Raw genomic sequence first — 27,138 nt, 5'->3', positions numbered from 1 at the left:
TGCCACATTCCTGTTGGTCATGGCCGCAGTCTTCCTTCTTCAGTGCCTGTCCTCACTGAACGTACCTGGATTAAAGACTCCGATGTCCAAAGGCCTCAGGCCTCACGGGGGTCCTGAGAGGCACTCTTTCGATGTCCTGTGATGGTGCAGAGTGGCGTTTGGACAGGCTTTCTGAATCTAAATTGTATTCCTTGCAGGTTGCACTTCAGTGGATAAGTACAATTTAAGCCAACCGTTGGCAAACGTTAAAGTTGCTTTAAAAACCCAAAGGAAGAAGAATTTAGGTTGTCAACTGCCATGTGTTCTGCCTCTGTTCCAGGTCCTGCGGAGGTCCCTTTGAGAGCTGGTTCCTGTTCATTCACTTCGGAGGATGGGCTGAGATGGTGGCAGAGCAATTACTGATGTCGGCAGCCGAACCCCCCACGGCCCTGCTGTGGCTCTTGGCCTTCTACTACGGCCCCCGTGATGGGAGGCAGCAGAGAGCACAGACTATGGTGGGTAGCAGGCCCCACTGCATGTGTTTGGGGTGGGCTCTGGGGGGCTGAGAGGAGCTTGCAGAGAGGGGCTCTGTTGTGGGCTTGGCTTCCATGACACCTGAGCTCTGCCCACAGATGGCATATGTCATGGCAACCTGCAGGCATGGTGATCTCCAGCCTTGTGGTCAGAGGCGTTCTCCTGTCCCCACCGAGGTGGCCAGAGACGAGACGCTGCCAGCCCATTCTCCTGCAAAACGAAGACCCTTCTTCCCCAAGGTCATTTGATCTGTTATTGCTCAGCTGCCATATCTGCCCCAGGGTCGCGTCCTCCAAGGCGTGCCCTGCAGAGGCGGGCTGTTCTGAGGGGTGTGCCGGCAGCAGAGCCTGGCCACAGCCAGGGCCCTGTCTCGCTCCCCAGCAGCCCGGCCAGGGCTTGCTTCCATCTTGACTGTCTCCTTTCTTGGATCAGTCAACAGATCCTCACATTACTGGCTTTATTTACATCTCTTACTAAAGTAATCAGATGATATTAACCACTTTGCTTCTGAAAAAGAAGTTGGTCATTTCCTAAATAACAGAGCAGCTAAGTATGGGACTGGATAACTGTCTGTGGCAAAGACAGTTGTTATTTTATGTGGAATATAATAATTACAGGAAGCAATGCTTTGATTAAAGGCATTGGCACCTCCCTTGCAAGCATTGATTTGCTAGGTTCTTAAAACTTCAACTGCCAGTGCTCTATGCTGATCTTAGTAGTTAAAGAGGACAAGGCTCATTTTGTATAGAGCCCTGCTTCTCTTGGCTTTGGCATTTTCTGTTGTTTGAAAACACACAGACTAATAAAGATGTCTGCGTATTTTGTTTAAAGGCTTGCATGGCATAGGAAAGAAAAATAGTTTTAGATTTTAAAAAGTTGAAATTTGGTGATAATTTATTTTGGATCAGAAATAAAGCTTTGTGAAAAAATTATAACCCACGTATGTATTTGAGGATTGCTGTCTGATTAAAAAGAAAGCTTTTTATTTCTTCCCCTTTAAAAGATCACGTTAAGCTAAGGAAAATCCTGGTTGATGTTTTTAACAGTAATAAGATGTACGGGGCACATATGGTTTTTAAAGCCCTTTTATATTCTGTCTTATTTGATTCTGAATAAGCTAAGTTGGTAGATATGTGTTCAATTCCATCACAGTCAAAAGGTTACTGACAGAGAATCACTTTTGAAGTATAAAGAAATAAATTATTCAATAACACTTAATTTCTAGAAAGTTCTACATTGGCACATCTTCTACTAGCTAACTTGGTCCTTTTTTATGAAAAAATAAAACCCTTGCGTAGTTCTCCCTCAGGGGATGCCTAGGATTTTGGATGAGAACGTATTGGCTCAATGTGAGTGGGGCAGTGGCAGGCATCCATTTCCCTTCCCCCCATTCTGTCACAGGTGCCCATCTGCCTGGCAGTTCAATCCAGTGCTCATGTTGGTGACTCCAGAGCCCCTTCCTTGCTGGTGCCTGCCTGAGGCATTGGTGTATGTGGCGTCCTGGGAAGGGGATTTTAGTTTAATGAATGATACGTACCTCTTGTTTTCCTGGGTTTTGTGAGCTTTAATCCCTTGATGGTCTGTTGGGAGGCTTGAGAGACAAACTGTGAACTGTGTTAGAAAGCATGATTCGTATGTGATTGAATTGAAATTAGCAGTATCTCTGCATTTGTGCATTTACTTAAAAAGGCACAATTAAATCAGCTGGTGGCGTATCCCCGCATCGTGTGCTGGGCCTGGCGTCACTGCCTCTGTGGATGTCCTTGAGGTGAAGAACATGGGTGCAAAGACCAAGCGTGTCCCCGCCCAGGATGTGTCCTGCCTGTGAGAAGGCCTGTCCCACTCATGGGCAAGCCACCCTTTCCACCAGCAGCCAGAGTTCATCTCCTTTTGCCAACAACTGAATCAGATCACAACAAAATAAAAAAAAGTCGTTTAGATACCCTTAAGAATCAGTAAGGTACAATGATGCCTAGAGAAAAAAAGGAAAAAAAAAAATCAGGCAAGGGTTCATACCCTTTAACCCTGTGGTTCCACTTCTAGGAATTACCCTGGGGAATAGAGATCCATGCAAAGGCTTATGTATAAGAATATTCAGCACAGCATTGTTCATAAATACAACAATGGGAAATGGCCTGAACTTTCAATAGTAAGGCTACTGGCCAAATAAAGTGTGGTATATCCTAACCATGGAATAGCATTCTGTTACATACCATGAAAAATCATGCTCTTGGACGGGTGTGGTGGTTCATGCCTGTAATCTCAGCACTTTGGAAGGCCGAGGTGGCCGTATCACTTGAATCCATGAGTTTGAGACCAGCCTGGGCAACATAGACCCCTGTCTCTACAAAAAAATAAATAAAGAAATTAGCCAGGTATGGTAATGTGTGCCTGTAGTCCCAGCTACTCGGGAGGCTGAGATAGATGGAAGGATCGCTTGAGCTCAGGAGGCAGAGGTTGCAGTGAGTAGAGATTGCACCACTGCATTCCAGCCTGGGTGACAGAGCAAGGCTCTGTCTCCAAAAAAAAAAAAAGGTCTTGAAGAGCATGTTCTATAGATACAGTGAACTGAACTGCTTATAGTACATTATGGAGAGAAAAATGAAAGATACAAGGCATTATGTGTAGTGAGTGGTATGGTCTCAGTGCGTAGAAAAAAGACAAGAAGTATATAAACCGAATTATTAACAGTGAGTCTTTTTGGATGGTAGAGTTATAGATCATTTTAATGGTTCTTCTTTTTCTCTTTTCAAATTTTCCATAGTAAGCATATATGTCTTTATAATGCAGGATAAAAAATACTTTAAAAAGAAAAGAAAGCTTTTATCTTTCTCCTGAAAAACTTAGGACATGTTTAAAGTTAGTTATCGGTGTTCAAGTGGAAGCCCATGAGCATGGACGGCCTCTGAAGGGAAAGACAGTCTGGGCCAGACATAAAGGAAGATAGACCCCATCTTAGGGATTATTGGACAAGGGCAGAAAGTCGGTTGTGGGTCAAGAGAAAAAACAGATATAAAGGCATAGCCTCCTAAACCCTGACATTTTTGCAGACCCAGTTAGATGGCAGAATGGCCTTGGGCTCCCGTAGACACCATCAGACCCGGCAGGCTGGGCCGGCTGAGGGGCGAGGTGGGGAGAGTGAGGCCTGCCCTGCTGGAGCGCTGCCGCTCCCCGTGGAAGAGCCCGATGGTGCAGTTTCTCACGGTCTTGTATTGTGGTCAGAGGAGCTCACACAACACACCCAGTGTACTGGAGTTTATGACAGACTTCATTGAATGAGGCCTTGACTTCCAGGGAAAAAAAACGCCTCACACAAAATCCATAAAATCGGTCATGGGAATTCTCAGAATAGGCCTAAGTATTCTTTCAGAAGTGATGGAACATAGCTGTTCACGAGTTCCATGTGGCATTTGGAGCTATGGGCTTTCGGTTTTTGCTTTGCTTTGTTTTCCAAGTCACGACTGGGTGTACCATTCTTGTAGCAAGCAGAAACATCTCAGCATGGAATGAGTATTTTTTATGCAAAAGCAACCTGCAGACTTATAATTACCATTATTATGTGGGTTCCACAGACTTGTGGCCTCTGCTTGAGCATTAAACACGTATGAACAGATTGTTCCGGCATCTAAAACAAATGTGTTCTTGTGTGTGCATGCATGTGTGTATGACCGTGCTTGTGTACACGTGCGTGCATGTGTGTGTGTTCCCCCCGACCCCCCGCCCTGACCCCCAATATAGCAAGAAGCAAAGGCAAGCCTACATTCGTATGGGAACACTGGCTCGGCGGAGGTCTGACTGCGTGGGGCTTTAATTGATTTGTGGCTGTGATAGGCGAGTCTTCAAGGAGCCTTTTGTTCTTTTTCCCACAATATAAAAATCTGACTACATTCTGTTGAGAACTTTTCTCTGTTTCCTTTTATACAAAAAAAGGTCAGTTCCTGGCATGGTGCCCTGACTGCTTGGTGAGCAAGACGAAAGAAAGTCAAGAAATTTCCATTCCGCCCATTTGGGTTTGTGTGAAATCGAGTGTAAATTCGGCCGCTGCCTAGCTCCCTCTCTCAGGGGCCAGTGCTTACCCGTTTCTGGGGGTTGTTTCAAAGCAAATAAATAAATCCTAGAAGTATGTCTGTCCTGCCTCTTCCTAACCTCTCCCCTGTGAAATACTATTGCCCAGGTCCAGGTGAAGGCCGTGCTGGGCCACCTCCTGGCAATGTCCAGAAGCAGCAGCCTCTCAGCCCAGGACCTGCAGACGGTAGCAGGACAGGGCACAGACACAGACCTCAGAGCTCCTGCACAACAGCTGATCAGGCACCTTCTCCTCAACTTCCTGCTCTGGGCTCCTGGAGGCCACACGATCGCCTGGGATGTCATCACCCTGGTAAGTCTCCCTGTGGTCCAGCATCCTAGTACTCATTTCTGCTCCAGGCGAGAGGTGGGTTACCTGTCCGAGGGTCTGGCCTCTGCACAGTGTGTGTACCAGGATGCTGCCCAGCACAGATAAATGGTCAAGGAGGTTGACAGCTGGGATGGACCCCAGAGCCTGCCCCTTCCAGCACCTTTATGTCATAGAAGAGAAAACAGAGGCTCAGAGACAGGAGATGCCATCTCCTGGGCCCACGGCTTGCTGCCAAAGCCTGCGGTAGAAGCCAGGTCTCCTGTCCCCCTACGTACATTTCTTTCCATCGCAGTGTGCTGCTCTCCTCCTCCTCATGGAAAGAAGTAAGGCCACGATGAGAATGGGCTCGCAAAGCAACCACAATGCTATTCACTGCAACAGTGCAAAGAATTCTGTTAATCTTTAAAAAAATTGGTTTATTACAAAGAAATCCTTCCTGAAGCCCACTTGACTTGAGGGGTAAAAAACGGTCCAAGTCAAAAGTGAGCACTCTTTGTGACATTAGATTTGGCAATGATTTCTTGGATATGATACCAAAGGCACAGCAATGAAAGAAAACAATAGATAAATTGGACTTTATGAAAATTAAAAGCTTTTGTGCATCAAATGATACTGTCAAGAAAGTGAAAACACAATTCACAGAATGGGAGAAAAATATCTGGAAATAATATATATGATTAGAGTTTAGTATTCAGAATACATAAGGAATTCTTATAACTCAACAACAAAAAGATAAACAACCCAATTCAAAAATGGGCAAAGGACTTGAACAGACATTTCTCCAAAGAAGATGTACAAATGGCCAGTAGGCATGTGGGGAGATGCTCACAGAAAGGGCATGAGTGGTCAGGGAAAGGCAAAGTGCAGCGAGATGCACTGCACAGCCATCAGGATGGCTGTCAGCAAGGAGAGAAAAGAAACGCCCGTGAGGATGCGTGGGAACCGGAACACTCATATGCTTCCCGGTGGGGACATTAACGTCGTGCAGCTACTGTGGAGAAGAATGGGGTGGTTCCTCAAACAGCCAAACTTGGAATTACCATGTGGCAGGCAGTTCTCCTAGGTCTATAACCCAGAGAGCCGAAAGCAGGGGCTGGAGGGCCATCTGGCCCAGTGCTCAGGGCAGCACTATTCTCAGCAGCCAGCAGGCAGAGATGGCCTAAACGCCTGTAGAGGGACAAGCAATGCACCGTGTGATCTGTACCCACAAGAGAGTACTGTTCAGCCTGAAGATGGAAAGAGGTTCTGACAGTGCTACAACATGAATGAACCTGGAAGACACTGTGCTGTTGAAATAAGCCAGAAACGAGGATGTTGTATGAGTCACTTAGGTGAGGCACCTGGAAGAGTCAAGTCCAGGGAGAGGAAGTGCTAGAGTTTCCCAAGGCAGAGGGTGGGGAGTCAGTGTGGGGATCATGGAAAGGGGCAGGAGACGGCCAGTGCTGATGGCTGTGCAACACTGTAAACATACTGCATGCCACCAAATTACACAAATGGGTAAAACAGCACATTTTATGTATATTTTACCACAATTTAAAAAAATACTCATCTCAGAAAAAGCACCAGCATGCTGGCTCTGGGAGTTTTGTTTTATTTTTTATTTTATTTGTACTTTTGTTGACATATACATACAGAAAATACACAGCTTGATGAATTTCACAAACCAACAACACCTGTGCAGCCAGCAGCCAACTCGAGAGGAATATTCCCAGTCCCCAGAGGCCCCTCCTGCTCCCGTCCAGGCCGGGCCTGACTGAAACGTGAATGTCCATGTACAGAAAGTCCCCGTAACATGACCCACCTGCCAAGAACCAGGGCCAGGAGATTGTCTCCATCCTGGTAGGACAGTCCTGTGGAGTGGGCCCAGGCTGTGCCTCCCAGGTGCTGGTGTCTCAGCTAAGACGAATCCGAGTCATGAGGGTGGCCCAGGGCTAAAGACGACTGGCTGCCACATGCCAGGTGCCACCTCTTTGGGCCCGGCCCCAGCACAGCGAGAATGCTTTCGAGAATCTATTGTGTACTCTTATAAAATGCACACCTGCAACAATGCGGCCCAACCTAGAGGGCTTTACACTGAGCGAAATAAGCCAGACGCGAGAGACAAATGCATGCTCTCACCTATGGGTGGGATCTAAAAAGTCGAACTCACAGAAACAGTGGGAAGGTGCTTATGGGGGGCTGGGGAGGGGCAGTGGGGAGATGGTCAGCCCTGCCCTGTGACAAGGACAATTCCAGCTCAGGCACTTCCTCCCCAACCCTGTGGCCCGTGTGAGTGGAGAAGGCTTAGCAGCAGGGGTCAGCGTGGGAGTTTGGTGACTCCAGCCCTGCCGACAGGGTGTGAGAGAAAATCACCCAGAGCAAGCACCCTAGAGACACCCAGGTCTCTGCTTCAGTTATCCTGATGCCATGTTTCCATCTACTCGGAGGAAACTTTCAGTCCACATTCAAAGCAGATCGCCCTCAAGACTGGGCCCAGAGACATTGCTGGGAGTAAGCCAGATGCTGCAAGGGCCAGCCTGCATCCTGTGTGGGGCAGTCCCTCCTGACACGTGGTTCAGCCCCTGCTGCGGATCCACACGGGAACCCTCAGGAGCACAGAGGGCCCCAGTGCTTTGTCATCACATCCCCCAAGTCAGTTCCGCCACAGAGAAGACACACACAGCAGAAGCCCATTCCCAGAGCAGACGCCAGTGTGGCGCTCATGCACTGACTCTGTCAGGGACGGATGCTGGCCATCTGGGCACCCATCGTGGTGAAAGCACCTCCTGGGGGCTGTCCTTTCGGATGTTTTGAAACCATCTTTATTGACACGTCAGTCTTCCTAATGAGAAGCCTTCGCTGCGGTGGCCGCGTGGCAGGGAGGGCCTCTGGGGAAGGATCCCTCCCACCACCCCTGCCTCTCCTGGCCTTTGTCAGTTCCTCTGCCGACAGCACCTTGGAAAGAGCCGGGTCTGCTTGGCCCACGAGCAGGTGGTGGCCAGATGGTTGCTTTGGTGGGACGGCCTTTCCCTCCTACAGCTTGGGTCTCTCCACCCTCAGGACCTAGCACGAGCGCAGCCACCTCCCAGCTGGTCCCAGGCTCTGCCCTCTATCTTGGCATCCAGATTTGGAGAGCAGTGCCAGCTCAAGGCAAAGGCCACTATCTCTCTTCAGAGCCCTTGCACCCTCTTGGAGATGGCTTGAGCGAGTGGCTCCATCTGACCTAAAGGACGCACTGGTCCTGCAGCCCCATCTGCCCACAGCCTGCCTCCTGTGTGGCCTCTGCAGTGAGCTCTGCGCAGTGGGCTCTTCTCCAGGCACCTGGAGGCCCACTCCCCGGCTGTCCCGGAATCCTCTTCTCTGACCTCGGCCCTCCGATTTTCCCCAGAACGCCATCCATGAGGCCCTGCCCAACGTCCCTGCGGTTCTCCTGCCTCTCTGGCTCCTGGCCTCTCGCCAGGCACTCCTCTGCCTTGCCCCAGCCGTCCACTTGCTCCCTCACTTGTGCCTGCAGGAGGCCGGCACAGAGCAGAGGACTGCATGGAGTCCACCCCTGGGGCTCCACCTCCTGTCCTGTCCTGGATTCACACTTCTCCTTCTCCTGCCTCCTGCTGCTGGGCCACAGCAACAACAGCAAAAGTTAGCTAGATTCCGAGATGCAGAGTTCAATTCTGTAGTCGTTGAACTCAAAATGAATTGAACCCACTCTTGGTGCACCAGCCAAGGCCAGCAGGGAGGCAGGTTTTCCAGGCGGCTGCAGGGCTGCGAATTTTTGCATGTGACTAGAGAGCTGGGAAGGGGCCCACCCAGGAGTGTTGGTGTGTAAGGAAGATGCAAGGTTGGATTTGTAATGACAACTCGGCCTTTCTTCAGACATGGCCAAGCCCATCAGCATGGGCATGGCCAGCCCCTGAGCGGGGGACAGTCCTCCCGCTCAGGGTCTGGGTGGTATATTAACTGAAAGGGGTCCACAGCAGGCTCACATTGTTTCCTTGATGAAGGACAGGCTGCATCTACCGAAGGCCATCAGCACTATGTGCCTGTCATTTCTGAGTAAAAACCAAGTGATAGCAATACAGACGCCCAGGGACACACTGGCACGTGCCTGGGCTACAGCCGGAGCCCCCGTGCTGGCTGCACTGACCCTGGCGGGCTCGTTGCAGGCCGGCTGCAGGCCCTGTGTGCTGCCAGGGGGGGCCGAGGAGAGCGAACGTCATGGTCCACACCACGTCGTTTACTCTTAGCTCTGCGTCCCCACGCTGCCATTCACACAGTGCGCATGCGACAAGAGGCTCCCTTTAGTGGTGGTCAGGAGGTGGAAGGCCCAGTTCTGAAGGGTGTCCTGGGCTGTCGGACCTGAGGCAGTAAAACCAGAATAGTCCTGGGAAAACCAAGGCAGTTGTTCACCCTCCCAGAACGGCCCAACCCTTCCAGAGGAAGCTGACCTTGGGCTGCTCTGGCTAATTAAACATTTGCGGGTTCTGTATAAACTGACACACACTAAGTGAATATATCGGTTACTCTTTCAAAAACTTAAGCCTTCTTAATACTGCTTGTGCTTAAAGAACCATAAATTCCCCACACAGCTAAATTGTAAGATTCTCACCCTTCCCTTTTTTCTTAACCGAAGTTTTTAGGAAAATACTTACAGGCACCAACAAGTACGAATGCCTTGAGGCTGTGTCTCCTGCTCTCCCGCAAGAATCAGGTGTTAAAACCTTAGAGGCCTATTAAAAAGCAAGTAGGTCCGGTTGCTAGCCCAGGGATGCCAGGGGCTGTTTCTGTGAAAACAGGTGGTATTTTCCAATTCTCATGTTCGTGTGAGCCTTTTGCAGAAAGTCAAGCCACAGCATGCTCATTTGCCTTTGTTCCCCACAGTGGATCATCCCACAACTTGTGACTGGCATTCTGAGAAGCACTTCTGATTGCAAGCAGCGCTTGTTTGTGGCCTTTATGAGTCTAAGGCTGTTGGCAGCTGAGCTCAATGCGAGGAGGCTCGTTAGGAAATGGCACCGCTCACTGTGTAGCCAGCCTTGGAGACAGACTTGCTATGCTAATCACCTTGCAAACTAGAGCCCCTGATGCTTTACTTTGGAACTGATGGAAATGCTGGATAGGGCTTCTTTCAGGGACTGGGTGGTTATGGTCCGTCCCTGGACAAAGGACAAATCTGTCTGGAAAGTGTTTTAATTTGCCTTCTCTTCTGTCCTGATTGCAGATGGCTCACACTGCTGAGATAACTCACGAGATCATTGGCTTTCTTGACCAGACCTTGTACAGATGGAATCGTCTTGGCATTGAAAGCCCTAGATCAGAAAAACTGGCCCGAGAGCTCCTTAAAGAGCTGCGAACTCAAGTCTAGAAGGCACGCAGGCCGTGTGGGTGCCCGGCGTGAGGGATCAGGCTCGCCAGGGCCACAGGACAGGTGATGACCTGTGGCCACGCATTTGTGGAGTAAGTGCCCTCGCTGGGCTGTGAGAATGAGCTGTACACATCTTGGGACAATCTGCTAGTATCTATTTTACAAAATGCAGAGCCAGGTCCCTCAGCCCAGACTCAGTCAGACATGTTCACTAATGACTCAAGTGAGCCTTCGGTACTCCTGGTGCCCGCCCGGCCAGACCGTCAGCTTGATAATTACTAAAGCAAAGGCCTGGGTGGGAGAACAGGTTTCTAGTTTTTACCCAAGTCAAGCTGCACATCTATTATTTAAAAATTCAAAGTCTTAGAACCAAGAATTTGGTCATGAACCATTAAAGAATTTAGAGAGAACTTAGCTCTTTTTAGACTCTTTTTAGGAGTCAGGGATCTGGGATAAAGCCACACTGTCTTGCTGTATGGAGAAATTCTTCAAGGGGAGTCAGGGTCCCTCAGGCTTCCCTTGTGTCTCCCTGGACCTGCCTGACAGGCCACAGGAGCAGACAGCACACCCAAGCCCGGGCCTCCGGCACACTCTTTCCACTCTGTATTTGCTAAATGATGCTAACTGCTACCAAAAGGCCCTTGGGACATCAGAGGAGCCGGCAGGCGAAGGTAGAGGATGTGTTCCAGAAACATTAGAAGGCAGGATTAATTCAGTTAGTTAGTTCTCTTGTTAAATGGAAATGGGAATTGGAAATTCCTGATAAAGAATTGGCCTGGCTGGGTGCAGTGGCTCACACCTGTGATCCCAGCACTTTGGGAGGCCAAGGCAGGGGGATTACTTCAGCCCAGGAGTTCCAGACTGCCTGGCTAACATGGCAATACCCTATCTCTACTAAAAATACAAAAATTATCGGGGTGCAATGGCATGCATCTGTAATCCCAGCTATTCAAGAGGCTGAGGCATGAGGATCTCTTGAACCCGGGAGGTGGGAGTTGTAGTGAGCCGAGATCATGACACTGCACTCCAGCCTGGGCAACAGAGCGAGACCATCTCTTAAAAAAAGGCATTGTTAGTGTAATCTCAAGGTTAACATTTATTTCATGTCAGTACAGGGTGCTTTTTCCTTTCAGGGACATTCTGGAATTGTATTGGTTGTACATTCTTTTGTGTCTATTCTGTTTGTCAAGTGAGTCAAGACTTGCTTTTGTCCATTTTGATTTGTGTGTATTAGTCTGAGTCTTGGCTCCGTTTTGAGGTATGAGCAAAGTTTTGCTGGATTAGAAGTTAACCTTTAGGGAAATTCCTTATTTTGGTATGTGGCAATGCTAATAGATCCACTGAAGATCTGGAAAATTCCAGGAACTTTTCACCTGAGCCTTTCTTCTGAGAAATGCTGCAGTCAGAAGGGTGTGCTGGTAAAGTATTTTGGTGGCAGCTGCCATCATGGTCATTGCCTTCATATAACATGCTTCGTGCTCATGGTCATTGCCTTCATATAACATGCTTCGTGCCATCATGATCCTTGCCTTCATATAACAAACATGCTTCGTCAGAGGTGTTGGGGTTGAAAAAGGAGCTGCATGCTTCACTGGAGTTGAGGGCCTCTCTCCTGTTCTGACTTTAAGCCAGAACTTGTGGCTGGGCCATGGAAGCTGTGACTCCTCTGTGGACATGGTGGCAGCAGGGAACCCCTAGAGAGAGGGGCCACTGGGACCAGGCCTCCTGTTGTGGAGGGACTCCTGGGACAGTCCTCCACCCTGTCCTGTGGTCCTGTGTACAGGGTTGGCCTCTTCCTCCTCCCCTGCCAGGCCTCTGCCCATGCCCCTTCCTTCCTTCTCCTGGGACTGGTGAAGCTAGGCATCTGGAAGACTTCTTCCTAGCCTGGAAGCCCTGACCTCGGCCCATCTGCAGAATCTCCCAGTTCCTTCACAGCTGCCGAGTCCTCTCACGGGTGCGGTGGAGGCGGCCTTGCCGGTGGTGCTTTCTGGGCAGCCAGGGGTTCCTGGGTGGGAGGACTGTCCCTCTGGGGACGTGGCACTGAAGTGCCTGCTGGCTTCATGTGGCCCTTTGCCCTTTCCCAGCCTGAGAGATGCTCAAAGGTGGGGAGCTGGGGGAGCCACCCCTCGGCCATTCCCTCCACCTCCAAGACAGGTGGCGGCCGGGCAGGCACTCTTAAGCCCACCTCCCCCTCTTGTTGCCTTCGATTTCGGCAAAGCCTGGGCAGGTGCCACCGGGAAGGAATGGCATCCGAGATGCTGGGCGGGGACGCGGCGTGGCCGAGGGGGCCTTGACGGCGTTGGCGGGGCCTGGGCACAGGGGCAGCCGCAGGGAGGCAGGGATGGCAAGGCGTGAAGCCACCCTGGAAGGAACTGGACCAAGGTCTTCAGAGGTGCGACAGGGTCTGGAATCTGACCTTACTCTAGCAGGAGTTTTTGTAGACTCTCCCTGATAGTTTAGTTTTTGATAAAGCATGCTGGTAAAACCACTACCCTCAGAGAGAGCCAAAAATACAGAAGAGGCGGAGAGCGCCCCTCCAACCAGGCTGTTATTCCCCTGGACTCCGTGACATCTGTGGAATTTTTTAGCTCTTTAAAATCTGTAATTTGTTGTCTATTTTTTCATTCTAAATAAAACTTCAGTTTGCACCTAATGTTGTATCCATTAAATATTACAATCCTTCTCTCAGGAAAAAGCTCCCCCGATGGCCCCAGACAGTGGAAGCTTCGGGCCTCAGGAAACCTAGATGTGCCCTGGAAGAGACCGAGGATGGCTTAGCCTCTGGGCCTGGGAACCTTGCTACTAAATACCTAAAAACTAAGGGTCCTGTCACCAAGGAGGAAGCAGGAGGACAAGGGCAGGCATCTGGCAGGGCCTGCCAAGATCAGGTTACATGCGTTTCATATCTGTGTTTTCTCTAAGCCAGGCTTGACCATAAGCCTCACTTGAATTGTTCTGTCTCTTCCCTGATCCCTGAAGCTGAAGGCCTCGTCCCACCAGCATAGCCCACCCACTCTTGCTCGCTCCGTTGCTTCACAGGCTGCTGTCCCCTCCTCCAGCCCCACAGGCCCCTCTGGGAGGCATGAGTGATGCGGCCAAGGCGAGCAGCGCCGTGGCCACCCCCAGGACCCCCACTGCAGTGGGGTTTCCAGCACTCCCCATGCTTCCGGCTATGGGACACTAGGGCCCCTCTCGGGGTCAGGAGGGCGCCTGAGGGAGCAGACAGGAAATGCTAAGACACTCCTGAGGAGCCTCTCACTGGAGCAGCCATGGTTGGCAGGGTTTCGTGGTTTGTTCTTCACCCTGTCCTGCCTGGTGTCTAAGTGGTGGGACAAGGTGCTAGGACAGAAATGGGAGCTAGGACAGAAATGGGAGCTAGTCCAGGGGATGGGAGGAAGCCGAGTTTTCTGTTGAAGTGGAGAAGTTACGAATGGGGTCTTGACAGGGAAGCCAGAGAAGAAGGGACCTTGGTGAGCCTGGCAGAGTGAATCCACCCAAAATGCTGGGAAGTCAAAACCGAGCCTGGCCTTACGCTGCCCAGAGGACGGCGGATGCACTGGAGGATTTGCACAGTGGGAGCAAATGTGAGGAATGTTCTCCTTATTCAACAAGGAATCCAAAATTTTTTTGCTTTCCAAGGAAGAAGAGAAACAGTTCCCCGTGCTTCTCCCCTCGCCTTTTTCTTCCTCTGTTTCCAGCCCAGGACCACCTCCCCCAGCCCGGGGGCTCGGGTGCTAAAGTTCTTCCCTCTGCCAAATGTTGGGAAATCCGTAGATTTTGTCGAAAAATCCTAAGTCATTAATCATCGCTAAGCCATTTTACAACCAAAGAACAAAAATTAAGATACAGTAAGTACATAACATGTCTTCAAGCCTCCTCCTAAAATCCAGTTCCACAATTGGTTTATACCATGGGTCCAAATCACACCCCTCAAGCCCAAACTGGTAATGGAGAGCTCATAGCAAAGGCCTTCCCTCCCGCTCCTGTCATGGTGTCTTACTGCACTTGCTGTTCTGGGCAGGGAATTTGTTCACCCAGGACTTTTGGTTGCAAGCAACAGAAACGTGCACTGAATGCTGAAAGTAAAGGGGAACTGATGAAAAAGGTATTGGGCTGATGAGGCCTGGTGTGAGCCGGCCAGCAGCAGTCCCAGCCTTGCTTCAGATGCTCTGGCAAGGCCAGTCGTGCTGCCCAGCCCTTCCGGACCCCACTCCAGCCGGGAGAAAGGCCCTTGTGCCCACTCCTTTCCACACCCCTGCCCAGGTGCATCAGATGGAGGAGCCTGGGTCAAAGGCCTGCCAGGGATGCTAGGAAATCACGCATCTGGCTTCAGCTTCTTTAACGTTATTGGGTACCTTGGATACCACCAAAAGCATCACCCAACTACAGGAAGGGGCCAAACACTGGGCAAATGGAGACAATAAAAATGTCTCCAGCTCATTACAGCATCTATACTTTAGCCTATGCCAGAGCATTTTAGAAGGTTGCGTCCCATGAAACAGCCCAGCAGCCAGCACCAGAACAGGCAGAGGTGAGCCTTTTCAGAAAGATGTTTTGTAGGCACCTAAATCTGGGTTTCTTAAATGCAGCACCATGAGCACTTTGGACCAGATGCCTCCCTGTTGTGGGGGTGTCCTGTGCACTGCAGGGTGTTGGCAGCATCCTGGCCTCCACCACTAGGTGCCGGTGCACCCCTTCCACCAGTGGTGACAAAACTTTCTCCAGACATTGCCCAATCCCCTTCCAACCGAGGGTACTGCTGTAACTGCTGGCCTCTCCCTCTGGAACGACATCCTAGACACAGACACTAACGGTTGTAGACACAGCGAATAGACAACCTGATTCCAACATTCATATGGACAGTAAACGTTCATGAACAGCCAGGCAAGCTCTGAAAGTGAAGCGTACCACGCACTGACACATACTTTGGTGTGAGGTTCTCATGAAGGGAAACATGGGTGGGGCTGAAAGGGCCCCCGTGGCTGCAGCCAGCGGCCAGCTCTCAGGCCTCATGGGCCGACCTCCTCCCAGCTCACATGCTCCTCCTCTTCTCCTGACCCCCTCCTGGTGGGCGCCCTTGGACTCCACCTAGAGGCTGGACCCTGTCCTGCCCGTGGCTTCACATGGCATCTCTAGGCAGAGGGACCACACCTGCCCCTGGATCACCGGCCCGGAGAGCCCGCCGCCTGTTGGGCATCACCACTGGCGGTGTGAAGACCCTCTCTGCTTACCACATCCCAGGTGGGCCCACCTGCTCCACCCACCTCCCGCACCCACCAGCTCCCCATGTTGCCGATGGCCATTCCATCCTGCCAGGGACTCAGGGCGAGTTCTGAAGCCACTCTTGACCCCTCCCTTTCTCCCACCTCCACATCCAGCCCGTCGGGGAGCCAGGAAGCTGGCCCTCTGTCACTCCCCGCTACTCACTGCCTAGGTTTCAGACATCATCTCCCGCCGAGTAAATCACGTGTACATGTACAGAATTTAGTATAAGATAAAGACATTGCCATCAACGGGGAAAAGATGGTATCAGGAGTAAAACTGTTACAGAATAAGCTCCCCAGCCCTCTGCCTTTCCCAGCGTCGGCATCTGGAGCATGGCTCGTTCTGGGATCTGTGTGTTCTGAGAAGCCTCTAGCAGTTCCCCTGCTTCGGAGAGGCAGGGAGGCTGCAGCCACTCTGGGGAGATGCTGCATTACTTACTTAGATAAATAAGGATTTCGCTTATAAAATTGAAGCTTCCCTCCTCCCAAAATGCAGAAAGCATTTTCTGGTCTTTCATTTAGAACTTCTTTGTTCCTCAGTGGTTTGCAGATGGTCACACCCTGTCCAGCCCCGGCCACTCCCTCCCGGCCCACCCACACCCCTGCGTGCAGGTCACTGCCTCAGGGCAGACTCTCCAGTCCTTTGGAGGGAGGAAGGGGAGCTGAGAGGATGCCGATCTCACGAAGAGGGGGCGGGACCCAAGGCTCCAGCGCATCCCTGCGGACTTCCATGCCTCCTTTCAGGCCAGGCCGTGGGGACCCCCCACGCATCTCCCTTGGCTGTGTCTGCCACAGGGAACCCTTTCCATGCCCAACGCAAAAGCAAGAAACCACAGGAGAAAAGGTGGGTAAAACTGGCCATACAGAAATCAAAAGCAAACTCACCAAAGTATCTCAATACACATGGTAAACTGAGGGAAGAAGAAGTATTTGCAGCACATGAAAAAAGCGAATTTCCTAACTTCTAAAGCTCTTCTACACATCAGTAAGGAAACAGCTGCCAGCTCGAAACGCACGGGCAGGGACACACACGACACAGGGAACGGGACGGCAGGGGCTTTTCCACAGCGTGGCAGAAGCCCAGGTGCTCCCAACCATCTCCACGGCAGCTTGGGAAACACTCAAGGCTGATGCTCCCCATGCTGATGACAGAGTGCGGAACAGGCAGAGGAAGGGACAGGAAACTGGTACCACCTTTTCGGAGGACAGCCTGTCAAACATCCAAATTTATCAGCACCGTAAGATAGGGTGAAAAAAATCAAAATAGAAAATTGACTCTGGAAACAGTATGGTAACCTAGAACTCTGATCTATCCATTCTGCCTCTAGATGTTTACCCAAAAGAATGCAAAGTAACAGCTGAGGAAATCCTGGACGCCATGTTCCTGGCAGCACTCTCCTGGACAGCCAAGAGGCAGACAGCTGCATCCGCCAGCAGCCAAGCCAGTGCAGAAAGGAAACGTGGTCTGTGTGTATGGCAGGATGGTCCTCAGCCTTAGAAGGCAGAGATCCTACACTTTGGGAGGCCCAGGCAGGCAGATCACGAGGTCAGGAGTTCAAGACCAGCCTGGCCAACATGGTGAAACCCCGTCTCTACTGAAAATACAAAAATTAGCTGGGCATGGTGGCGCACACCTGTAATCCCAGCTACTCGGGAGGCTGAGGCAGGAGAATTGCTTGAACCCAGGAGGCAGAGGCTGCAGTGAGCCAAGATCGTGCCACTGCACTCCACTTGGGCAGCAGAGTGAGACTCTGTCTCAAAGAAAAAAGAAAAAAGAGGCAGAGATCCTGAGCACGCCACAGTATGGAGGAACCTGGAAGACTTTATGTTAAATGAAATCAGCCAGACATAAAAGGACAAAGATTTTATGAATCCTCTCATATGAGCTCCCTAAAACAGGCAAGCCTCAAAGACAGGAAGCTGCATGGTGCTTCCCAGGGACCTGGGGGAGGGGAAGTGGGGCACGAGTGTTGAATGGGTCCCGTTTCACTGGGGAAGATGAAAAAGTTCTGCAGGCGGATCGTGGTGAGCTGCACAACAATGAAGACACCGAGGCTGCTGAGCTGGGTCCTGACACATGGTTATACTGGTCAATCTTATGTGTATTCTGCTGTAATAAAAGCACTAAGATCGAAAAAGATTATATATCCTTTCTCCAAGGAGCAGACACCCAGTTCTCCTGACCCCACTCCCTCCACTGCAGACTGCAGGGATCCACACTAGTGCGCACATCTAGGGCTTTCCCCGTGGATATGCCGGCGCCTGTGCGTGTGCAGGATGCGACAGCCAACAACCACTGGGGCAACTCAGAGGTTCACATAAAGATATAAATGAAAGGAAACAGAGAGGGAGGAAAGGGAGAGAAAGGAGAAGAGCAAGAAAGGGGTGGGGGAGAGAGAGGAACGAGAGAAAAAAAGGAAAAGCCTGCGTGCAAGCAAGTGCACACTCTTACCCTTGAGCCCGGGCCTGCTGTCCACTTCACACACACTGACCCAACAAAGTCAGCTGAAGCTTACAGAGGAGGAAATGCAAACACAGAGAGGCCGAATAATGTGCCCAAGGCTACACTGAGGCCATCTAGCAGGGCTGGGACTTGAACGAAGCCCCCAGAAGGTGGGGTGTCACTGCCTCTCGAGTTACAGCGCGTCCATGCAATGCAGCCATCGACACAGAGAAGCGAGCGTTATGTACGTGCCAATCTAGACCCGTGTGAACACTGTGCCACCCTCCGTGTATAAAGCAGGGCCTGCACACGTGCTTGCCGGCGCCAGGGTGGAGACGGTAATCAACTTCATTATAGTGATTTGGGGAAGAGACTAGCTGAAAAGGCAGAGAAAACTTACTTTTTGTTTACATATTACCTATATTTGTTTGCATGTGTGATCTATGAGAAAAATAAGTTGTTATCAAGTATGCAAAGGAAGACTCTTTGTTTGCTCTAAGAGAGGGCTGCCGTTAAACGCTGCCCTGAAGGGAAGGAGGCCAGGCACCATCTGTAACTTTAAAAGGAGACAGCGCCATCTCTGATCCTTGCACCGTAGTCACCGTGGTGGTGCTTTTGTTTCTTATTCACAGGACTTATGTTCTACCATTGGACAGAATTTTCTAGAAAAAGTCTACTTACTATGACTGGACGCATGTGCCCTGACATTTGTTGGGCCATGACCCAGCTTTCCAAAGACCCATCCTCCATCTGCCAGGGCCCTGTGCTCATCATGGCTTTCCTCCTGTACGCAAGTCCTCTGCCTCAGCTGTGCTAAAACCAAGTTTCTGCAGTCACTTCCTCCACGCTTTTAACTTAGTAAAGCAGATACAATCATCAAACTATAGCTCCTTCCCCATAAATTATCTGTGTTTTCTTTACAACCCAACATAAATGCACACTTGTTCCATTCCATCAGCAATCACTGAAACGGACTCCGGCCTCATCTCTGAGTTATGCCGTAATTCATGTTCTTCCTGAGCCTCCCTCCCTAAACATAACTGCAGCTGAAGTCCCTGGGGACTTAAATCATAGGGTCAGAATGCAGAAACCTCAGGGATCACGGGTGAAGAGTGTGGTGTCTTAGCCACAGAGGGCTTCCTTGACTCCTGCCTTTCAGAGCTCGCCATGAGCGTCCGATCCAGTCGTCAGGAAACGCACTTCTGTTCTGTCAGACCTCGTTGTGGCAAGGGAGGACTATGAGAGCAGAAAGGAACTTTCTGGAACTCAGGACTCTTGGCAGTGAGTCAGGGTCTGACCATGGGCAGCTTCAGCACCCCACCCACACCCCGCTGGCAAAAGCACCTCCTCGGCTGCGCTTTAAAGTGGCGGACAGATTCCACAAAGGCCCAGGCTGAAAGAAATTACAGGCAGAAGGAGCACAAAGAAAGCTTAAGAAAATGGAAACCACAGGGTGCACACCCAGTCGCCTCTGTGCCCCAGACAAAGCCACAGATGAGCTGTCTGGGCAGGCGGCCCCAGGCAGGATCAGAGCTGGGCACTCCTCTCCCAGGTGGGGAGCCTGTGGGAGACTCAGAATGGACAGTCCCCCTGGGAGCAGCCCCAGGCCCGCCCCCAGGCCCCACTCAGCGACTGCCAGGGTCAGGTAGGGGTGGCAGAGCAGCCAGATGCTGGGTGGGCCCAGGCGGGGGTGGGAGGCTCTGGTCTTTACAGCAGCTCCCCCTGGGCCCACCCCCTTTAAGTCCTGGGGCTGAGAAGCCAAACCCTGACCTTGTTTTATCTCAACAAACACCGCAGGGACCGGTCTGGTTCCTTGTAAGCTGTTGGGACTAGACAGAACTGTGTGGTCAGAGGTCTTTCTCTGCATTTCTGCATTTAGCCCTGCACTGCCTCTCCCTACTAGTGTGTGTGTGTGTGCACACACACACACACACACACACACAGCCTTCAACAGGCTTTTGGTGCCATCAGCAACTCTCTCAGGCCACAGCCTGGTGACCGAAGCTCTCAGCCTTTCTTCTCTTCTGGATCTATGTGAGAACCACGGGGCATCAACCCCCTTTTCCCACCCCCAGCCCCAAGAGTGGCTTCTCAGGCTGGGCCTCCCATGGGGGCTGCTGGGGTGGGGTGCGCACATGCACACGTGCCAAGTTGGTCTTGGGACATCTGTGGCTTTACGGTGGTTTCCTTCCACCCCAGGCTCGGCTGCCGGCCTTTCTCACACCGTCTAGTTATCCGACTGGAACAGGAATGCCTATCGGGTGATCAGTCTCCCAGACAGCAGGGAGGGTGGGAAGAGATCTATAAAACCCTGCCACTGAATAGTCACAACTGGCCTCTCCTCACTTCCACCTTGTAAATCTCCAGAGCCCAAGCAGCAAGGCCAAGGTCACTGTCCCGCGGGTGCTGGGAACGACCCTGGGAGGTCCAGGCAGCCCTTTCAACCTCCAGCTCCCCCAAACCTCTTGGGTGGCCACCGTCTCCGTGCCCCTATACAGTGACTGTCATGGCTGGGCCCTGCACAGAGTGAGCCTGCAGTGGCTCAGCCCAAGGGCACCAACTAACCAAAGAGCCACCACACTTTAATGTGAACCCCTGACAAAGTGCCAGGCAGCACCCCGCTTATTCTGGGGAATGGGGTGTGGTGGGCCCTGCGCACCCAGAGTTCTGCTTGGAAGGAGCCTCCCAGGACAGACTGTGGCCCCTTGCCGGGTGGGACTGCCTTGCCAAGGAGCCCTCCTTCCCTGCCAGCACCTCCCCTCACCCCCACCCATGACCCACACAAGTCCTCCACTGGCCCCATCTATAGAACAAGGACGTGCTTGGTCTAGAACTTGAAACTCTAAACAAACTGTCCCTTGAAAGCGGCCCTTGGCCTTGCTTTCAGCTGCTCTGTGGGTCACAGCTGCCTTTGGTGAGGTCACTGCGGCACAGGTCCCTCCCCTCGGCCTCCCCCAGGCCCGGCCACCGGCTGTTGCAGGCTGAATCGAGGTGGAGGGAAGCCGCAGCCTCCCTGGACCCCTTTGTCATTGAGGGCAGGTTTTCCGTCAGGGCTGTCTTGGGTGTGGCTGGCCTCCCTCCATGCTGCAGGCAAGGTCACCTTGCCTAGCATGGAGGCTATTATTTCAGTATTTTGGTTTGAAATTCCAATAAACATAAATGCTTTAAAATCCTTTAATCCTCAAAGGAAGCTGAGCTGGGACCTGACCGTCTTCCCTGGTGTTTCTTTCCTGTATCCTCCCTCACCCCACTTTTTGCCTTTGTCCAGCCAGAATTCCCTGCCCTTATACCCCTGGCTGTGGTCCAGAGCCCTGGGCTGGGGAGGTCCTCCTGTCCCTTCAACCCCAGCAGGGAGGCAGGGGCTGCCTTTCTAGGCCGGCCCCAGGGTGCTGGCGAGGCCTGCAGGCGACCAAGTGCAGGGTGTGGTCACTGCTGCTTCCTCCCTTCGAAGGGGGGGCCCTCTGGGCTGGGGTCACCCTCAGATGCCCTGGCTACCTCCCCTCCCGCAGCAGGCCCTGGGCCCGGGCCCAGCCACAGGTTGGCGCAGCCTGTGTTCAGACAGCCGGAGGCGGCAGCAGGGGACATGGTTTAAAACGTGCTGGCCTCTGGAGAAGTGCCCTGCACTGGGCTGCCCGGCTCCTGCGGGCTGAAACACTGGCATCTCTGCGGCCTCAGGGGGAAGGACTGGACCCGGCATCCGTTTGTTCTCCTGGAGGACAGTGGCAATTAACCCATTAACTTGCTGCCTCTCCCTGATCTTTTATTAAACCTGGCAAACCCAGTTAACTGTTCGTACCTACCACTCAGGGGACAGATGGCCCTGTGACGTTGCTAGTGGCTGCAGGCCACAGGGGCCAGGGTGGCGTGTTGCGGCCTCTGCCCTCCAGCCCCTCAGTGGCCCTTCAGTGCCGTTTAGCCCCACGCAGCCTCAGGGCATAGCCATGGGGCTCCCCCATCCCATGGCATCTGCAAGTCATTTTAGAGCCTAAGAAAGCCCCTTGTGAGCAGGTGTTTCTTGGCTTCTACCTAGACAGGAAGCTGATGTGTCTTGTGGGGACCCTCCAGTCCTGGGTCCGTCTGTTCAGTGGAGGCGCTGGCTTGTTGGTAAAGAAGGTTGTTCCTGTCAGTTTCTTACAGCCTGTTGCAGGGTGGGGGGAGCTAATATCTTCACATCTGATTAACTGAGAACCTGTGACAGGTCCCACCCATGGGTCGGCCGCGGGGAGCTGCTGAGCTGAGGCTGGGAAACAGCACTTAACTGGCGGATTCAAGTTCAGGTTTCCATGCTTTCCAAAGCAGCCCGTGCCCCCACCCAGCCTGCCCTTCCATCAGACTGGATTAGGAGTGAAGGCCCAGGGGGGCCTCTCAAGTCTTGGCTGCTGAGTGTGACAAGACAGTATCCCCAGGAGTGCCTGGACACGGAGGCTTCAGCAGATGTCAACGAAGGGCCCACAGCTGGGGAGGCATTGTGGCGTGGAGGAAAGCTCTGAGCCATGTGGACCTGCGTTCAAACCCTGCCACTTGGCAGATGAATCCACAGTGGGAACTCAGGTTCCCCAGCACACCCACATCCTGCTCTTCCAGACAGCCCGTCTTCATCCAAAACTACTATGTCCCGTGCAGACAGCCCTGCTCTCCGAAGGTGCTATGGCTGGGCTAAGGCAGTGAGCGTTCTAGCCTCAGTTGTCACACGCCCTTTGATCTGAGCTAGTTTCTGATGTGATACTTCACTTAAAAATGGAAGAGTACTGGTCACATCTGTCTCCTACTGACCCCGAGACCCCGGTTTGCTCTCAGGCTGGAATCTAGAGGCCTCTCTGCCAGGCCCTGGGTGGAGGTTCTCTCAAGTCTCTTAGGAGATGCCAGAGGAGCAGCTAGCAGAACCCATTCAGAGTCAGCTGAGGCACGGGTGAAGGATGCCGGCGAGGGCAGTTGCAGAGCCTCGGGGAGCCTCCTGCCTGGAGAGAGTGGCGGAGCTGCTCTCCGGCTTCCTCCCTCCCTCACCTCCAGGGGCAGCCCCAGCACGGGCAGGGTGCCCCCAGGTCTGGAGGCAGCAAAGGCCGACTCCTGGCAGGACCTCAGTCAAATCCGTGACAGCAATGTCCGGTTCTGATGAGGTCCACCAAATTTATGCCACCCACTGGCCAGATCCCCGGTGGTCAAAGCAAGTCACAAGACCCGGTGACTCACAGGAGCCAGGGGATTAGTGGTCTTTGTGCAGAACCCCACCTATTCAGCAGTTCAGCTTTGCTTTAGTGGTTTCTAAAGAAGATAAAGCATGGCTTTCACTTTTTGGAAAAGCAAGGTCACCCCAAACCACTGGGCCGGTGAGCCACCCGCAGCTCTTGAGAGCTCCAGGTGCCAAGCATCTGCACACAGTGGGAGTGGGAGCCTCGCAGGGCAGTGCGGCCGGTACTCCCACGGTCCTTCCTGGCTCTGCCTCAGTGAAAGCCAAACACACTTAGAAAGCGCAGAGAGAGAGAGAGAGAGAGGCCGGGTACAGTGGTTCACGCCTATAATCCCGGCACTTTGGGAGGCCGAGGCAGGTGGATCACGTGAGGTCGGGAGTTCGAGACCAGCCTGACCAACGTGGTGAAACCCCATCTCCACTAAAAATACAAAATTAGCTGGGCATGGTGGCGGGAGCCTGTAATCCCAGCTACTCGGGAGGCTGGGGCAGGAGAATCGCTTGAACCCGGGAGGCGGAGGTTGCAGTGTACAGAGATCGTGCCATTGCATTCCAGCCTGCGCAACAAGAGTGAAACTGTCAAAAAAAAGAAAGGAAGGAAAAAAAAAAGGCAGCAGCACACAGAGAGAAAGCATCGTTCATTCTAAATCTCCACAGGAAGCCGCGGTCGTGTATTTATTCAAACATAACAGTCAAGTTCTGAGCCATCCTCCACGATGGCACAGCCAGCTATACAGTCCCACGCAAAGGCATGTGACAGCAGAGAGCAAATCCTAAGAACGTTCTGGAATCAGTCACTGGGACAAGAAAAGAGAGTTCTGGAGACCAAGGCCTCCCAGTCCAGAGCTTCTAATGAGATCCATGGTAGAGCCCCACTTCACCCCAAACAGGCCAGAATTTGTGCTGCCCCCTGGAGCCAGGCAGAGGAGACTGTGGGTGTGTTCAGGTGCACTCATGCTCAGCCCAACTTGGCACAGGGCCCATGGCTGCACCCGTTCCTACAGCCTTCTCCAGGCATTTTCAAACATTCTGCCCCATGGACAGTGCCAAGGAAGCTCAGTGCCCAGCTTCTGTCTATACCCTAAACCTTGTGGAGAAAGAAAAATCATACCACCAGACTCCCACGATGCCTGAATATGCCCAGGCTCTCCATTTTATCGGAAGAGGGTGCCCCACGCGCAGCCAAATTACTTTTGTTTTCAGGCTTCTAAGAGAACTAACACTACCTTGAAAACAACAAAGAAACTAGTGAGGTGGGGGGGGAACACCAGAATGTGGAGAATACCTTTTTCTTGTACGTGCTTTTTTTTTTTTTTTTTTTTTTTTTTTGAGATGGAGTCTTGCTCTGTCGCCCAGGCTGGAGTGCAGTGGCGCAATCTCGGCTCACTGCAACTGCCACCTCCTGGGTTCAAGCGATTCTCCTGCCTCAGTCTCCCGAGTAGCTGGGATTACAGGTGCCCACCACCACGCCCGCCTAATTTTTTGTATTTTAGTAGAGACAGGGTTTCACCATGTTAGCCAGGATGGTCTCGATCTCCTGACCTCGTGATCCACCCACCTCGGCCTCCCAAAGTGCTGGGATTATAGGCATGAGCCACCGCACCTGGCCTTTATTATTTTTAAACAGTATGAAATTTAGAAGCAAACACGTATACAAAAAAAAAATCCATTACATTTATTAATAATATATCTTAGATTCTCATCCTGTTCTTTTAAATGGCGCCCACTGGTCTCATACAGAGGAGCTGTGTGACTTTCTGGAATTATAGAAATATCCGCATCCAGCCATGTGCTGAGCAGACCAATGTAAAATGTTCAGCAGGTTTTCCAATGTCTCTTGGATATATTTAATCATCTCTGCAGAAGAACTCAAAATCTCAGAGCAGCTCCACTCCAGATCCAGGGCAGGAGGCAGCCTCCAGGGAGGGAGGCTGCGTTTACGAGAATCTGCCTTTTGTGTGTGCCTGGCTGGGACCAGCCTCTGGGAAAGAGAAGCACCAAGATGTGAACAGGGCTGTGGGCCGATGGCTTTAGCAGCCACATAATCCCTCCTTTGATGTCCAGGGTCAGTTCGAGCCTGGTCCCCCAGGCTAGGAGGAGACGAATGAAAGAATCTTGCTGTGGTCTTTCCTGCAAAGGAAACAGCAGTAACATTGATTACCCAGTCACCGGGAGGAATTCTTGTGAGCGCGCACCTCTGTGTGCCTTTGCTCTCCACTTTCAAGAGAGGACTTTAATCACAGGACAAGGAGAAGACCCAGGCCCATTTCAGTCTCCGGGACGGGTCACAGCGAGCCGTGTGACGCTGGCCTGCTCACACGTGGCCATGACACCAGCAGGCTGTACTCAGGCTTTGCGTACACAATAGCTGCTAGGAGTACCCATTTCAGACACGCACCCACTCTAACTGTTCTCAGAAAGTCTCAGCTCACCTCGCCGTGGGAGAGCTGGGCCCTGCCTCCCTTACACATGGGGGCAAACGGCCCCCTGCTGGCACTGTGTCCTGCCTTCAGGCCTGGGAGCTCTTAACTTTCTGCCAACAGGGTTTTCCAAGTCTACAAACCCCCACGCCGCAGGAGCACATGCAGATGACTGGCACCGTGCTGCCGCCGGGCCGGGGTGGACGCAGGGTGGACGCGGGCCTGTCTGCCGCGAGTGGGAGCCCCAGCTCTCCTGAGCCTCGGGCACTTACAGACACGAAGGCTTTTTGCTCAAGGGCTCGACTCCTGTTCCTGCTGAACTGAGCCAGTGTGTAAAATGAGAACTGATATCAGCTCAGTAGGCACCGGAGGGCGGGTCCAATCGACAGCCCGGAGAAGCAGCGCCTCAGCTGGGAGCTCCGTGGGCACCGTCTGCTGGCGCAGGAGACGCGAAGGCCTGGACTGCAAATACAAGAGAGAGTTCACCGCGCCCAGAACAACAGGAGCTCCTCCGAAAGCCCCGCCCCGCCCCGCTCACAGCCATGAGCTACCACATGATTTCACACGACTTAGGTGATGCATTTGGTTTTAGTTTTTTGTAAGAAGAATTTTTGCAACTTTCAATACATTTGACCTTTCAGACAGATGTCCGATTAGTGCATGTTTCTGTGGACAGACTTAAGGACTCAGTACATGGCTAGCATTCCCAGCAGGAGACAGTGCATCCTTGGGGTCAAGTGGTCTCTCATCCTCCAGGATCGCGCTCCGCACCCAAGCTGACTGTGCAGCAGCGGCCGGCCCGTCAGCAACGGCCTCTGCCCCAGCGGCTCCAACTTAACTGTCCCCATCTCACCTTCTCTTCAGGTGCAGAACTTAGCCACTGTGAACAAAGCGGAAACCAATCACTGTTCACCAATCAGCTAAGCTCTGCACCTTGTTAGAGAGGTCATCGCTGGGCATAAATAAAGGGACGGTGACCGGTGAGCATCTTCCTCAGCTGGTGGCTTCTTTTGTTTCCAAAGAAGAGCTACGAGATGCACCTGTTCTCCAATCTGCAGTGAGCGCGACCACGGTTTCTGGAGGAGCAGCCAAGGTCGTGGTTGCGTGGTAATCCCTGGCAATGTGATTTTAATCTTAAGTCACAAATCAGCATGCCAGGAACCCAAGCAGCCAGAGCACCTGAGAGCAGCGCCACCCCGTGCTGTCTGCACACACTGGGCTTCCGCGGAAGGACGCCGGCGACACTGCCGCCTTCACGCCTGTTATGCTAGCAAACAGGTGGAGTTTCTGTTTGTTGTTCGTTTAGTTGGCATCCTAGAGGTATAATTTCTTGAATCAAAGGGACTCCAGAGATGACCATAAAAATGCCAGTGCAGCTTTGGAACTGAAGAAAAATGCAGGGACCGGCCATGCGACACACACAATTGCTAAAGGCAGCTGTCCTTGCTATTAGTTTACTGCCTCTAACCCTTGGGGACAAGATCCCTTCTCTCCAGGCAGATTCTAGCTGCCCTGGGAAGGCTTTGGGGACTCTCAAGTCAGGAGGTCCCCCTGCTGGAAGGGGCCCTGGGAC

General features: G+C 52.2%; 2 protein-coding genes, 1 long non-coding RNA gene and 4 other non-coding genes across 50 annotated transcripts in view, besides 5 other annotated features; 2 read left to right on the top strand and 5 right to left on the bottom strand.

The window, feature by feature from the left end:
* The window catches only part of FANCC (FA complementation group C), a 218,656-nt gene extending 205,753 nt beyond the window's left edge, over positions 1 to 12,903 (top strand). For 13 of the 22 annotated variants that reach the window (XM_006717001.4, NM_000136.3, XM_047422951.1 and 10 more), the window contains 3 exons: positions 320 to 494; positions 4,688 to 4,891; positions 10,107 to 12,903. In XM_006717001.4, coding sequence (XP_006717064.1) covers positions 320 to 494; positions 4,688 to 4,891; positions 10,107 to 10,250 — 523 coding nt within the window. In that variant the 3' untranslated portion in view covers positions 10,251 to 12,903. Of the gene's footprint in view, positions 1 to 319; positions 495 to 611; positions 1,732 to 4,443; positions 4,637 to 4,687; positions 4,892 to 10,106 lie in introns of those variants that run through there. The other 9 variants (XM_047422956.1, NM_001243744.2, XM_047422954.1 and 6 more) reach the window with 4 other exon arrangements.
* AOPEP (aminopeptidase O (putative)) overlaps positions 1 to 27,138 on the bottom strand; it is a 423,526-nt gene that overhangs the window by 38,268 nt on the left and 358,120 nt on the right. For 21 of the 23 annotated variants that reach the window (NR_169862.1, NR_169863.2, NR_169864.1 and 18 more), the window contains one exon: positions 24,798 to 25,275. The exons of 1 other annotated variant lie outside the window; for it this stretch is intronic. Coding sequence is in view for 12 of the 22 variants with exons in the window: in NM_001386068.1 (NP_001372997.1) it covers positions 25,015 to 25,275 (261 nt within the window). In the remaining 10 variants the exon portion in view is untranslated. Of the gene's footprint in view, positions 1 to 24,797; positions 25,276 to 25,837; positions 26,028 to 27,138 lie in introns of those variants that run through there. One more of the 23 variants, XM_047423978.1, reaches the window with a different exon arrangement.
* LOC107987102 (uncharacterized) lies at positions 3,211 to 5,489 on the bottom strand. The gene is made up of 2 exons (XR_001746847.2): positions 5,185 to 5,489; positions 3,211 to 5,069 (listed from the first exon to the last, which is right to left on the bottom strand). It is a non-coding gene; the product is annotated as an uncharacterized LOC107987102 (long non-coding RNA).
* Positions 8,288 to 8,934: an enhancer, noted in NCBI's record as "H3K27ac-H3K4me1 hESC enhancer chr9:97865305-97865951 (GRCh37/hg19 assembly coordinates)". NCBI's record gives its function as "activates a minimal SCP1, AML or CMV promoter by ChIP-STARR-seq in primed H9 embryonic stem cells {active_cell/tissue: H9 hESC(primed)}" and the evidence as "EXISTENCE:reporter gene assay evidence [ECO:0000049][PMID:30033119]".
* Positions 9,799 to 10,298: an enhancer, noted in NCBI's record as "H3K4me1 hESC enhancer chr9:97863941-97864440 (GRCh37/hg19 assembly coordinates)". NCBI's record gives its function as "activates a minimal SCP1, AML or CMV promoter by ChIP-STARR-seq in naive H9 embryonic stem cells {active_cell/tissue: H9 hESC(naive)}" and the evidence as "EXISTENCE:reporter gene assay evidence [ECO:0000049][PMID:30033119]".
* Positions 19,755 to 20,504: an enhancer, noted in NCBI's record as "H3K27ac-H3K4me1 hESC enhancer chr9:97853735-97854484 (GRCh37/hg19 assembly coordinates)". NCBI's record gives its function as "activates a minimal SCP1, AML or CMV promoter by ChIP-STARR-seq in naive H9 embryonic stem cells {active_cell/tissue: H9 hESC(naive)}" and the evidence as "EXISTENCE:reporter gene assay evidence [ECO:0000049][PMID:30033119]".
* Positions 20,505 to 21,254: an enhancer, noted in NCBI's record as "H3K27ac-H3K4me1 hESC enhancer chr9:97852985-97853734 (GRCh37/hg19 assembly coordinates)". NCBI's record gives its function as "activates a minimal SCP1, AML or CMV promoter by ChIP-STARR-seq in primed H9 embryonic stem cells {active_cell/tissue: H9 hESC(primed)}" and the evidence as "EXISTENCE:reporter gene assay evidence [ECO:0000049][PMID:30033119]".
* Positions 21,255 to 22,004: an enhancer, noted in NCBI's record as "H3K27ac-H3K4me1 hESC enhancer chr9:97852235-97852984 (GRCh37/hg19 assembly coordinates)". NCBI's record gives its function as "activates a minimal SCP1, AML or CMV promoter by ChIP-STARR-seq in primed H9 embryonic stem cells {active_cell/tissue: H9 hESC(primed)}" and the evidence as "EXISTENCE:reporter gene assay evidence [ECO:0000049][PMID:30033119]".
* On the top strand, positions 25,863 to 25,943 carry MIR3074 (microRNA 3074). Its single transcript, NR_036109.1, has one exon. It is a non-coding gene; the product is annotated as a microRNA 3074 (primary transcript).
* Positions 25,869 to 25,936, bottom strand: MIR24-1 (microRNA 24-1). The gene has a single exon (NR_029496.1). It is a non-coding gene; the product is annotated as a microRNA 24-1 (primary transcript).
* MIR27B (microRNA 27b) lies at positions 26,416 to 26,512 on the bottom strand. The gene has a single exon (NR_029665.1). It is a non-coding gene; the product is annotated as a microRNA 27b (primary transcript).
* Positions 26,653 to 26,749, bottom strand: MIR23B (microRNA 23b). The gene has a single exon (NR_029664.1). It is a non-coding gene; the product is annotated as a microRNA 23b (primary transcript).

Source organism: Homo sapiens, chromosome 9, assembly GCF_000001405.40.
Source record: "Homo sapiens chromosome 9, GRCh38.p14 Primary Assembly".
NCBI classification, from domain to species: Eukaryota; Metazoa; Chordata; class Mammalia; order Primates; family Hominidae; genus Homo; species Homo sapiens.
The sequence above is the reverse complement of the archived record's forward strand: the minus strand, read 5'-3'. Positions and strand labels throughout refer to the sequence as shown.